The sequence below is a fragment of the Homo sapiens genome, chromosome X (genome assembly GCF_000001405.40).
Source record: "Homo sapiens chromosome X, GRCh38.p14 Primary Assembly".
NCBI classification, from domain to species: domain Eukaryota; kingdom Metazoa; phylum Chordata; class Mammalia; order Primates; family Hominidae; genus Homo; species Homo sapiens.
This window is the reverse complement of record NC_000023.11, coordinates 65,228,504-65,242,817: the sequence shown is the minus strand read 5'-3', so window position 1 is coordinate 65,242,817 and position 14,314 is coordinate 65,228,504. Positions and strand designations below refer to the sequence as shown.

General features: G+C 38.1%; 1 protein-coding gene across 14 annotated transcripts in view, besides 1 other annotated feature; it reads right to left on the bottom strand.

Moving 5' to 3' along the window:
- The window catches only part of ZC3H12B (zinc finger CCCH-type containing 12B), a 473,062-nt gene that overhangs the window by 265,070 nt on the left and 193,678 nt on the right, over positions 1-14,314 (bottom strand). The window lies entirely within an intron of this gene.
- Positions 1,535-1,829: an enhancer, noted in NCBI's record as "tiled region #9838; HepG2 Activating DNase matched - State 1:Tss". NCBI's record gives its function as "activates a minimal TATA promoter and a strong SV40 promoter by Sharpr-MPRA in HepG2 cells {active_cell/tissue: HepG2}" and the evidence as "EXISTENCE:reporter gene assay evidence [ECO:0000049][PMID:27701403]".

The window sequence follows — 14,314 nt, the reverse complement described above, 5'->3', positions numbered from 1 at the left end:
TTTCTGGGTTTGTATAAACTATTCCATTAGTCTATGTGTATGCTTTTATGACAGCATCATGATGTTTTGGGTACTATACCTTTGTAGTATAATTTGAAGTTAGGTAATATGATGCTTCCAGCTTTGTTCTTTTTGCTCAGGATTGGTCTGGATATTTTGGGTCCCTGTGATTCCATATAAATTTCAGGATCTTTTAATATTTGCAAAAAATGTCATTGGTATTTTGACAGAAACTGCATTAAATTTGTAGATCACTTTGGATGGTATGGACATATTAACAACATTGATACTTCCAATCTGTTAACACAGAATATTTCCATTTTTATGTCCTCTTTAATTTTGTTCATTGTTTTATACTTTTCATTATAGAGATCTCTCATTTCTTTGATTACGTTTATTTCTAGGTACTTTATTTTATTTGTGGCTATTGTAAATGAAATTAATTTCTTGGTTTTTCTGACTGTTCACTATTGGTTTATGAAATGCTACTGACTTGGGGAAACAAGCCAAAATGGCAAATTAGAAGCAATTGCCGTCCGCAGCTCTCACAGAGAAGAATGAAAACTTCAAGTGAATTTAGCACTTTCGACTGAAATATCCAGGTCCTCGCATTTGGACCTGGTGACTAGGTGAATGGCTAAACCCACAGAGAATGAAAAAAAGCAGGGTGGGGTGATAGCCCACCCGGGAGTGGCACCGACCCAAAGTAACCCCCACCCCTAGCCAAGGAAAGTGGTGAGTGATTGTGTAACCTTACTCGGGAAACCACACTTCTTCCACAGATTTTTGCAACCCACGGATAAGGAGATCCCTTCGTGAACCCATTCCATCAAGCCTTGGGTCCAATACAAAAAAGTGTGCAGAGTCTTGGCAGAACAGTAGTTCAGGCTCACAGAAACCCAGGAGTTTTTCTGACTCTAGCTTCAGGAATGCCAGCAAGGTAGGAGATCCATCAGTACACTCTACCGAAAAAAGGGCTGAATCCAGGGAGCCAAGCAGTGTTGTTTTGTAGGCCCCACCTCCATGGTACCTCACAAGTTAAGAACCACTAGATTGGAAAACAGGCTGGAGATTGCCTGACACAAATGAATTTCTGGTGAGAAGGGCGGCTGCCATTCCTGTGGTTAGGTTGAATCAGCCATTCTAGCCTGCTGAATCCAGTGGGTCCAGGCAGTCTGCCTGAAAACAAATTCCACACAATGCAGCACAGCTGCTGTGCCAGATCATGGCCAGACTACTTTTTAACGTGGAACTCCAATCAATTCCTCCTCACTCAGGGGCGACCTCCCTGTGGGAATTTCAGCAACTCCAGCCAGGATTATACAAACAGAACTCTGATCTCTTCCAGGGATGAAGCCCCCAGGAGGGGAAGCTGCCATTTTTGTGGTTCAGTCAACTAGGCAGTTCTAGCCTGCCGGCTCCAGGGAGTCCAGGTGGTCCTCATGAGGAGTCCCCCCACAATGCAGCACAGCTGCTGTTCCAAATTGTGACTAGATTGCTTCTTTAAGTAGGACCCCAATCCATCCCTCCTCACTGGGCAGGGCCTCCCTGTGGGAATTTCAGCAACTCCAGCCAGGGTTATACAAACAGAACTTTGATCTCTTCCTAAACAAAAGCCCCCAGGAGGAGGGGTGGCTGACACCTCTGCAGTTCAGTCAACTCAGCCTTTCCAGACTGCTGGCTCTGGAGAGTCCAGCAGGTCTGGACAAGGAAGAGTTACACCCAATGCAGCACACCTGCTCTACCCAAAACCAGCCAGTCTGCTTCCTTAAGTGGGCCTCTAATTCTGTCTCTCCTGACTGGGTGAGAGCTCCCAACAGGGGTCTCCAGACACCTCCTACAGGAGCGTCTGGGCAACAATAGGTCAGTACCTCCCCTGGGTCAGAGCTCCTAGAGAAAGAAGCACCCTTCACTGGTGATAACTCCAGGTAAGGGGAAAACCTAGGCAACTAGGGTCTGGAATGATCACCTTACAAAACACAAGAGCCCTATAGGAAAGTGGCTTGTTAAAAGAAAAACAAACAAATGAAAGCAACAACAAAAATATTATTAACAAAAACCGCTACAAATATCCCATTCATAGGTCAGCAGTACCAAAAACCGAAGATAAATAAGCCTACAAGGATGAAAACGAATCAGTGTGAAAATGCTGAAAAATGAAAAAATCCAGAGTGCCTCTTCTCCTCCAAATGACCACAACAGCTCTCAAGCAAGGGCTCACAGCTGGGGCTGAGGCTGAGGTGGCTGAATTAACAGAAGTAGGATTCAGAAGGTAAGTAATAACAAACTGCTGAGCTAAAGAAGCATGTTCTAGCCCAATGCAAAAACACTAAGAATCATGAAAAATATACAGGAGCTGAAAACCAGAATAGCAACTTTACACAGGCATATAAAAGACCTGATGGAGCCTTAAAACATATGAGAAATTGACAATGCTATCACAAGTATCAAAAGCAGAATAGACCAAGCAAAGAAAATAATCTCAGAGCTTGAAGACTATCTTTCTGAAATCGGACAGACAAAACAAAAAGGGAAAAAAAATTAAAAAACAAACTAAACCTCCAAAAAATATGGGACTATGTAAAAAGACTGAACCTATCACTGATTGTGGTACATGAAAGAGATGGGAAGAATGGAACAAACTTGGAAATCATACTACAGGATATCATCCAGGAAAACTTCCAAAACCTAACAAGAGGTGCCAACATTCAAATTTAGGAAATTGAGAGAACCCCAGTCAGAAACTCCACAAGAAAATCAACCCCAAGACACATAATCATCAGATTCTTCAAGATTGAAATGAAATAGAGGATGTTAAGGGAAGTGAGAGAAATGCCAGGTCACCTGCAAAGGGAAACCCATCAGAATAACAGCAGAGCTCTCAGTGGAAACCCTGCAAGCAAGAAGAGATGGGGGGCCAATATTCAACATTCTTAAAGAAAAAAAAATTCCAACCCAGAAATTTATATTGGCCCAAACTAAGCTTCACAAGTGAGAGAGAAATAAGATCCCTTGAAGACAAGCAAATGCAAAGAAAACTTGTCACTACCAGGCAAGCCTGCAAGGGTGCCAAATAAAACACTAAATAAGAAAAAGAAAAATTGCTATCAACCACCACAAAAACACACTGAAGTACACAGACTGGTGACACTATCAAGAAACCACATAAACAAGTGTGCAAAATAAACAGCTACCATCATAACATGATCAAATTCACACATAAAAATATTAACCTTAAATGTAAATGGGAGAAATGCCCTAATTAAATAACATAGAATGGCAAGCTGGATAAAGAGTCAAGACCCATCAGTATGCTGTCTTCAAAAGACCCATCACATGTGCAAATAAACACATGTGCAAATAAACTCAAAATAAAGGGATGGAGGAAAAAATATCAAGCAAATGGAAAAAAAAAAAGAGCAGGTGTTGCAATCCTAGTTGCTGAAAAAACAGACTTTAAACCAAGAGAGAACAAAAAAGACAGAGAAGGGCATTACATAATGGTAAATGGGGTCAATTAAACAAGAGCTAACTATCCTAAATACATATGCACCCAATATGGGAGGACCAAGATTCATAAAGCAAGTTTTTAGAGACCTACAAAGAGACTTAGACGCACACACAATAATAATGAGAGACTTAAACACCCCACTAACAATATTAGACCACTGAAAAAGAAAATTAACAAAGATATTCAGGATCTGAACTCACCTCTGGATCAAGCAGAACCATCTACAGAACTCTCTACCCAAAAACAACAGAATGCACATTCTTCTCATTGCCACATGGCACTTAATCTAAAATTGATAACATAATCGGAAATAAAACACTCCTCAGCAAATAAAAAAACCCCTGACATCATAAGAAAGTCTTTCAGACCACAGCACAATCAAATTAGACCTCAAGATCAAGAAATTCATGGAAAACCAAACAACTACATGAAGATTGAAAAATCTGCTCCTGAATCACTCCTGGGTAAGTAATGAAATTAAGGCAGATATCAAGAAGTTCTTTGAAACTAGTGAGAACAAAGAGACAATGCACCAGAATCTGAGATGCAGCTAAAGCAGTGTTAAGAGGGAAATTTATAGCACTGAATGCCCACATTACAAAGCTATAGAATCTCAAATTAATAACCTAACATTACAACTAAAAGAACTAGAAAATTAAGAGCAAACAAACCCCAAAGGTAGCAGAAGACAAAACATAACCAAGATCAGAGTGGAATTGAAGGAGATAGAGACACAAACAAAACTTCACAAAACTCAGTGAATCCCAGTGCTGTATTTTGAAAAAAATATTGATATGTTATCTAGACTAATAAAGAAGAAAAGAGAGAAGAATCAAATAGCCACAAGCAAAAATGATAAAGGAGATATCACCACTGACTCCACAGAAATACAAACAACCATCAGAGAATACCACGAACACCTCTATACACATAACATAGAAAATGTAGAATAAATGGATAAATTTCTGGACACATACACCTCCCAAGACTGAATGAGAAAGACGTTGAATCCCTAAATAAACCAATAACAAGTTCTGAAATTGAGAAAGTAATAAGTAGCCTACCAACCAACAAAAAAGCTAAGGATCAGACAGATTTACAGCTAAATTGTTCCAGAGGTACAAAGAAGAGCTGGCAACTTTTCTACTGAATTTATTCCAAAAAATCGAGGAGGGACTCTTCCATATTTTCTACTAAATCTATTCCAAAAAATTGAGGAGGGACTCTTCCTCATTTTATGAGGCTAACATCATCCTGATATCAAAACCTGAAAGAGATAAAAGAAAACTTCAGGCCAACATTCCTGATAAACATCAATGCAAAAATCCTCAATAAAATGCTGGCAAACTGAATCAAGCAGCACATCAAAATGCTTATCCTCCACAATCAAGTTGGCTTCATCCCCAGTATGCAAGGTTGGTTCAACATACATTAATTAACAAATGTAATTCATCACATAAACAGAAATAAAACCAAAAAACACAAGATTATCTCAATAGATACAGAAAAGGCCTTCAATAAAATTCAACATCACTTCATGTTAAAAACTCTCAATAAACTAGGTACTAAAGAAACATTCCTCAAAATAATAACAGCCATATATGAGAAACCCACAGCCAATATCATACTGAATGGACAAAAGCTAAATGCATTCCCCTTAAAAACTGGCACAAGACAAGTATGCCCTATCTCACAACTCGTATTCGATACAGAATTGCAAGTTCTGGACAGGAAAATCAGGCAAGAGAAAAAAAAAAAGGCATTCAACTAGAAAAACAGGAAGTCAAACTATCCCTGTTTGCAGATGACATAATCCTATATCTAATAAATCCCATCATCTCAGCCCCAAAGCATCTTAAGCTAATAAGCAACTTCAGCAAAGTCTCAGAATACAAAATGAATGTGCAAAAATTGCTAGCATTTCTACATACCAACATGCAAGCAGAGAGTGAAACCACAAATGAACTCCCATTCATAAATGCTACAAAAAAATCAATTACCTAGAAATACAGCTAACAGGGGAGGTGAAGGACCTCTTCAAAACAAACAAACAAACAAACAAACAAACTACAAACCACTGCTGAAGGAAATCAGAGAGGACACAAACAAATGGAAGAACATTCCATGCTCATGGATAGGAATAATTGATATTATGAAAATGGCCATATTGCACAAAGTAATTTATACATCCAATGCTATTCCCACTAAAATACCATTGACATTCTTCACAGAATTAGAAGAAACTACTTCAAAATTCATACTGAACCACAAAAGAGCCCAAACAGCCACAGCAATTCTAAGCAAAAAGAACAAAGCCAGACACATCATGCTACCCAAAATCAAACTATACTCCAAGGCTACAGTAAGCAAAACAACATGGTACTGGTACAAAAACAGACACATAGACTAATGGAAGATAATAGAGAACTCAGAAATAAAACAACACACCTACAACCATCTGATCTATGACAAACCTGACGAAAATGAGCAATGGGAAGACAATCCCCTATTTAATAAATAGTGTTGGGAGAATTGGCTAGCCATATGCAGAAAATTGAAATTGTAAGCCTTCCTAACATCTTATACAAAAATTAACTCAAGATGGAGTAAAGACTTAAATGTAAAACCCAAAACTATAAAAATCCAGAAGAAAATCTAGGAAATACCATTCAGGAAATAGGCATGGGCAAAGATTTCATTATAAAAATGCCAAAAGCAATTGCAATAAAAGCAAAAATTGACAAATGGGACCTAGTTAAGTGAAAGAGCTTCTGCACAGCAAAAGAAACTATCATCAGAGTGAATAGACAACCTACAGAGAAAGAGAAAATTTTTGCTATCTGTCCATCTGACAACAGTCTAATATCTAGATTCTAAAAGGAATTTAAACAAATATAAAAGAAAAAAACAACCCCATTTAAAAGTGGGTAAAAAACATGGACAAACCCTTCTCAAAATAAAACATTCATGTGGCTAAGAAACATATGAAAAAAAAGCTAAACATCAGTGACTGATAGCCACAGGAAACAGAGAAATTCTGAGGCAGACAGGAACAGGTCCCTCGTGAAACTTGACCTTCAAATCAAAGAGAGTTGAAAGCCTGAAATCTGAGCTGCCTGTTCCAGATAGAGCCCACAATCAGAGTGAAAACTTCTATCCCTGTCTTAGCCTCTCTCTCTTGTTTATTTCCTTCTGATAGATACCTTTTACAAAATAAAATGGTGTTTTTTCCAAAGTCCAACCATAAACCAATCAGCAGGCATTCCTCCATTCTAAACCCATAAAAATGCTAGACTCACCTTCAAAGACTACTGCATGCTTTCAGGTCCACTCTCAGAGCTGAGAGCTTTCCTTCTGTTGCTCAATAAAATTCTGCTCTGTGTTACTAAGTCTCTGGTGTCCATGTACTTTATTCCACTTGGTCATGAAACAAGAACCCAGAACATGCCAAAACATGGAAGTAAAAACTGAGGTAACACGGTACCACTTGCTGAGCTATGGAAGTAAAGAGCTGTGACATGTCTTGGAAGCTCAGACCTCAGGATTCCCTGATCAAGAGCTGTAACACCCCTTGAAGCACCGTGATTGCTGGCATCTTCGAGTTTTGGGGCACCACCATGTTTCCCTGATATAGATACAGGCGCCCAAGTTGGAATCTGCTTGCAGCCTGACCAGGCTAGCTGTGGGCTGAGTGCAGAGCCACAGCAGGCAAGCAATCCAGGCTGGGATGCAAGCTGAACTCAGCCTGCCAGGCTGAGTGGGCAAAGTGAGCCCAGCAGGCCCTGAGGGAGGCCCAGGCAGAGATGGCAGTGGCTGGAGAGATTTCCAGCTGGTGAAATTGCACCAAAGGAATCTTGTAACATGATCATTAGAGAAGTGCAAAGCAAAACCACAATGAGGTAGGATCTCATGCCAGTAAAAATAGCAATTATTAAAAAGTCAAAAAACAACAGATGCTGGTGAGGTTGTGGAGAAAAAGGAATGTGTTTACACTGTTGGTTGGAGTGTAAATTAATTCAACCACTGTGGAAGACAAAATGGTAATTCCTTAAAGATCTAGAGGCAGAAATACCATTTGACCCAGCAATCCCATTACTGGGTATATACCCAAAGAAATATAATTTATTCTAGTATAAAGATACATGCATGCATATGTTCATTGCAGCACTATTCACAAAAACAAAGACATGAAATCAACCCAAATAGCTATCAATAAGAGACTGGATAAAGAAAATGAAATACATATACATCAAAAAAATACTATGTAGCCAAAAAGAATGAACAAGGCCATGTCCTTTGCAGGGACATGGATGGAGCTGGAAGCCATTATCCTCAGCAAACTAACAGCAGTAACAGAAAACAAAACACTGTATGTTCTCAGTTATACGTGGAAGCTGAATGATCAGAACACATAGGGAGGAAACAAGACACACTGGGGCCTTTCTGGAGAAGTGGTGGGGGGAGAAAGAGCATCAGAAAAAAATAGCTAATGGATACTGGCCTTAATACCAAGATGATGGGTTGATCTGTGCTGCAAACCACCATGGCACACATTTACCTATGTAACACACCTGCACATCCTGCACATGTATCCTGGAACTTAATAAATGCTACTGATTTTGTATACTGCAACTTTACTGGTTTTGTCAGTTCTAATAGACTTCTTTTTTTATTATTCTTTTGGTAGAGTCCTTAGATTTTTCTAAATATGAAATCATACTATCTGAAAACAAAAATAATTTGACGTCCTGCTTTCCAAATTAAATACCTTGTGTTTATTTCTCTTGCCTAACTGCTGTGGCTAGGACTTTCAATACTATGTTGAATAATAGTGGTGAAAGTGGGGATCCTTGTCTTGCTCCAGATCTTAAAGAAAAGGCTTTCAGTTTTTCCCCATTCGGTATGATACTAGTTGTGGGTTTGTTATATATTGAGTTTATCATATGGTGGTATGTTCCTTCTGTACCAAGTTCTTTAAAGAGTTTTTATCATGAAGAAATGTTGAATTTTATCAAGTATTTATTTGGCATATATTGGAATGACCATATGTTTTTTGTCCCTTATTCTGTTGATGTGATGCATCACACTTATTGATTTGCATATGCTGAACCATCTTTGAATCCCTGAAATGAATTCCACTACATGATGATGGATAATCTTTTTCATGTGGTTTGAGTTGAGTTTGCTAGTATTTTTGTATGCATATTCATCAGAGATCTTGGCCTGCAGTTTTGTTTGTTTGTTTGTGTTGTTTTTGTCCGGTCTTAGCATCAGGGTAATACTGTACTTGAAGAATGAATTTAGAATTAGTCCCTTCTCAGAATAGTCTGAAAAGGATTGATATTAGTTCTTCTTTAAATAATTGGGTTGATAATACTCTCTCATGATGCTTTCAATTTCTGTGGTATCCGCTGTAATGTCTCTTTTTTTGTCTCTCGTTTTATTTTTGTCTTCCCTGTTTTTCATAGTCTGGTGAAAATTTTATCAATTTGTTTATCTTTTGAGAAAACAAGTTTTCATTCCATTTATCCTATTTTTTGTCTCAATTTCCTTTATTTCTTTTTTGATGTTATTATTTCTTCTACTAACTTTGGGTTTGCTTTGCTCTCCTTTTTCTAGTTCTTTAAAATGCACTACTAGGTTGTTTATTTGAAGTTTACATTTTAATATGTAGATGTTTATTGTTATAAATGTCCGTCTTAGTACTGCTTTTTCCATATCCCATAAGTTTTGGTATGTTTTGTTTTAATTTTCATTGTTGATTTTTTTTTTTTTAATTTTCTTCTTAATTTCTTCATTGGCCCAATGGTCATTCAGGAGCACATTTGTTTAATTTCCAAATATCTGTATAATTTCCAAAGTTCTTCTTATTATTGATTTGTAGTTTTATTCCATTGTAGTCACAAAAGATATTTAATATGATTTCAATTTTTTTGAATTACTTAAGACTTGCTTTGTGGCCTAACATATAGCCTATCCTTGAGAATGTTTCATATACTGAAGAGACAAGTGTGTATTCTGTAGCTGTTGGATAAAATGTTCCGTAAATGTCTATTTGGCCCATTTGGTCTATACTCCAGATTAAGTCCAATGTTTCTTTGCTAATTTTTTGTCTACATGATCTATCCAGTGCTGAAAGAGGGGATTCAATGTCCCCCACTGTAATTGTATTGTGGTATATATCTCTCTCTTTAGCATAGATAATATTTGCTTTAAACATCTGTGTGCTCCAGTGTTGGGCACATAAATATTTACAATTGTTATATCTTCTTGCTAACTTGACCCCCTTATCATTATATAAATCACATCCTTGTCTTTTTTAATATTTTTGGCATAAAAACTATTTTTTTCTGATGTAAGTATAGCTGCTCCTCCTCATTTCTGGTTTCTATTTGCAGGGAATATGTTTTTCCATCCTTAATTTTCAGACTATATACATCTTTACAGGTGAAGTAAGTTTCTTCTAGACAGCATATAGTCGAGTCTTTTTTTTTTCCATCCATTCAGCCACTCTATGTCTTTTTGTTGGATAATTTAGTCCATTTACATTCAATGTTAATATTGATATGTAAGGACTTACTACCACTATTTTGTTATTTGTTTTAGTGTAGCTTTGTTAGCACTCTCTTCCTTCCTTCTTGTCCTCCTTTATGTATAAGTGATTTTCTCTGGTAGTATGTTTTAATTTCTTGCTTTTTGTTTTCTGTGAATTTATTATAATTTTTGCTTTGTGAATACCATGAGGCTTGCAAATAACACGTTATAAGCAATTATTTTAAACCGAGGATAACTTTGATCACAATGAAAAGCAAAATAACAAGTAATGAAAATACTAAAAACCCTTCACTTTAATTCCATCCGTACCACCTTCTGACTTTTTGTTCTTTTTTCATCTTTTTATATTGCATGTTGCGGGAAGTCAGGGACCCCGAACGGAGGGACCAGCTGAAGCCATGGCAGAAGAACATAAATTGTTAAGATTTCATGGCCATTTATTAGTTCCCAGAATCAATACTTTTATAATTTCTCACACCTGTCCTACGTTATTTTATTTTATTATTTTTTTGAGACAGAGTCTTACTCTGTCACCCAGGCTGGAGTGCAGTGGTGCGATCTCAGCTCACTGCAAGCACTGCCTTCTGGGTTCACAGCATTCTCCTGCCTCAGCCTCCCAAGTAGCTGGGACTACAGGCACCTGCCACCATGCTTGGCTAATTTTTTTTTTTTGTATTGTTAGTAGAGACGGGGTTTCACCATGTTAGCCAGGATGGTTTCGATCTCCTGACCTTGTGTTCTGCCCGCCTCAGCCTCCCAAAGTGCTGGGATTACAGGCATGAGCTACCACACTCGACCTCCTGTCTTACTTTAATCTCTTAATCACATCAACTTCGTAAGCTGAGGATGTATGTCACCTTACGACCCTGTGATGATTGCGTTAACTGTACAAATTTTTTGTAAAACATGTGTGTTCGAACAATATGAAATCTGATTGTAAAACATGGGTGTTTGAACAATATGAAATCAGTGAACTCTGAAAAAGAACAGAATAACAGCAATTTTCAGGGAACAAGGAAAGATAACCATAAGGTCTGACTGCCTGCGGGGTCGGGCAGAATAGAGCCATATTTTTCTTCTTGCAGAAAACCTATAGATGGATGTGCAAGTAGGAGAGATATCACTGAATTCTTTTCCCAGCAAGGAATATTAATAATTGAGACCCTGGAGAAGGAATGCATTCCTGGGGGTAGTTCTATGAATAGCCGCTCTGGGAGTATCTGTTTTATGTGGTTAAGATAAGGATTGAGATACGCGGTTAAGATAAGGATTGAGATACGCCCTGGTCTCCTGAAGTACCCTCAGGCTTACTAGGACTAGGAAATTCCAGCCTGGTAAATTCTACTCATATTGGTTGTCTGCTCTCGAACCCTGTTTCCTGTTAAGATGTTTATCAAGATAATGCATGCCCAGTGAGACATGGACCCTCATCAGTAATTCTAATTTTGCCCTTGCCTTGTGATCTTGCTCTACCCTTTGCCTTGTGATCTTTTATTGCCCTTTGAAGCATGTGATCTCTGTGACCCACTCCCTATTCGTACACCCCCTCCCCTTTTGAAATCCCTAATAAAAACTTGCTGGTTTTGTGGCTCGGGGTTGTCATCATGGTCCTACCAATATGTGATGGCACCTCCGGAGGCCCAGTTGTAAAATTTCTCTCTTTGTACTCTTTCTTTTTATTTCTCAGACCGGCCAACAATTAGGGAAAATAGAAAGGACCTATGGTGAAATACTGGGGGCTGGTTCCCCCAATAATTGCTTACCTTTTAACAAATTGTTAAAGTTATTATCTCAAATAGGTTTATCCTTAAGTCTTCATACTAAAGATAGAAGTGGTTGACACACCAAAATTACAGCGTTAAAGTAGTCTATCTTGGACTGTGTAGTTACTTTTGATAATGAGTTTATACCTTCAGAAAAATTTTTGATGTTCATTAGCATCCTTTTCTTTCAGACTCCAGAATTCCCTTAAGCATTTTCCTATAATAAAGGTCTGATGTTGATACAAATCCATAGGTTTTGTTTGTCTGGGGAAATCATTACTTCTCTTTCATGTTTGAAGAAAAACGCTGAATATAATATTTAGGCTAGAATTTTTTTCTATGCTTTTTAAAATTTCAATTCGTTTTTTTTTTTTTTTGGCGCTGGGGGAAAGGTGATGTTTGTTTATATGAATAAGTCCTTTACTGGTGATTTCGTATATTTTTTTTAATTAATATCATACTTTAAGTTTTAGGGTACATGTGCACAATGTGCAGGTTAGTTACAAATGTATACATGTGCCATGCTGGTGTGCTGCACCCATTAACTCGTCATTTAGCATTAGGTATATCTCCTAATGCTATCCCTCCCCCTTCCCCCCATCCCACAACAGTCCCCAGAGTGTGATGTTCCCCTTCCTGCGTCCATGTGAGCTCATTGTTCAATTCCCACCGATGAGTGAGAAAATGCATGTTTGGTTTCTCGTTCTTGCAATAGTTTACTGAGAATGATGATTTCCAATTTCATCCATGTCCCTACAAAGGACATGAACTCATCATTTTTTATGGCTACATAGTATTCCATGGTGTATATGAGCCACATTTTCTTAATCCAGTCTATCATTGTTGGACATTTGGGTTGGTTCCAAGTCTTTGCTATTGTGAATAGTGCCGCAATAAACATACGTGTGCATGTGTCTTTATAGCAGCAAGATTTATAGTCCTTTGGGTATATACCCAGTAATGGGATGGCTGGGTCAAATGGTATTTCTAGTTCTAGATCCCAGAGGAATCACCACACTGACTTCCACAATGGTTGAACTAGTTTACTGTCCCACCAACAGTGTAAAAGTGTTCCTATTTCTCCACATCCTCTCCAGCACCTGTTGTTTCCTGACTTTTTAAGGACTGCCATTCTAACTGGTGTGAGATGGTATCTCATTGTGGTTTTGATTTGCATTTCTCTGATGGCCAGTGATGATGAGCATTTTTTCATGTGTTTTTTGGCTGCATAAATGTCTTCTTTTGAGAAGTGTCTGTTCATGTCCTTCACCCACTTTTTGATGGGGTTGTTTGTTTTTTTCTTGTAAATTTCTTTGAGTTCATTGTAGATTCTGGATATTAGCCCTTTGTCAGATGAGTAGGTTGCGAAAATTTTCTCCCATTTTGTAGGTTGCCTGTTCACTCTGACGGAAGTTTCTTTTGCTGTGCAGAAGTTCTTTAGTTTAATTGGATCCCACTTGTCAATTTTGGCTTTTGTTGCCATTGCTTTTGGTGTTTTAGACATGAAGTCCTTGCCCATGCCTATGTCCTGAATGGTAATGCCTAGGTTTTCTTCTAGGGTTTTTATGGTTTTAGGTCTAACGTTTAAGTCTTTAATCCATCTTGAATTGATTTTTGTATAAGGTGTAAGGAAGGGATCCAGTTTCAGCTTTCTACATGTGACTAGCCAGTTTTCCCAGCACCATTTAGTAAATCGGGAATCCTTTCCCCATTGCTTGTTTTACTCAGGTTTGTCAAAGATCAGATAGTTGTAGATATGAGGTGTTATTTCTGAGGGCTCTGTTGTGTTCCATTGATCTATATCTCTGTTTTGGTACCAGTACCATGCTGTTTTGGTTACTGTAGCCTTGTAGTATAGTTTGAAGTCAGGTAGTGTGATGCCTCCAGCTTTGTTCTTTTGGCTTAGGATTGACTTGGCGATGTGGGCTCTTTTTTGGTTCCATATGAACTTTAAAGTAGTTTTTTCCAATTCTGTGAAGAAAGTCATTGGTAGCTTGATGGGGATGGCATGGAATCTACAAATTACCTTAGGCAGTATGGCCATTTTCATGATACTTATTCTTCCCACCCATGAGCATGGAATGTTCTTCCATTTGTTTGTATGCTCTTTTATTTCCTTGAGCAGTGGTTTGTAGTTCTCCTTGAAGAGGTCCTTCACGTCTGTTGTAAGTTGGATTCCTAGGTATTTTATTCTCTTTGAAGCAATTGTGAATGGGAGTTCACTTATGATTTTTCTCTCTGTTTGTCTGTTATTGGTGTATAAGAATGCTTGTGATTTTTGTACATTGATTTTGTATCCTGATACTTTGCTGAAGTTGTTATCAGCTTAAGCAGATTTTGGGCTGAGACAATCGGGTTTTCTAGATATACAATCATGTCATCTGCAAACAGGGACAATTTGACTTCCTCTTTTCCTAATTGAATACCCTTTATTTCCTTCTCCTGCCTAATTGCCCTGGCCAGAACTTCCAACACTATGTTGAAT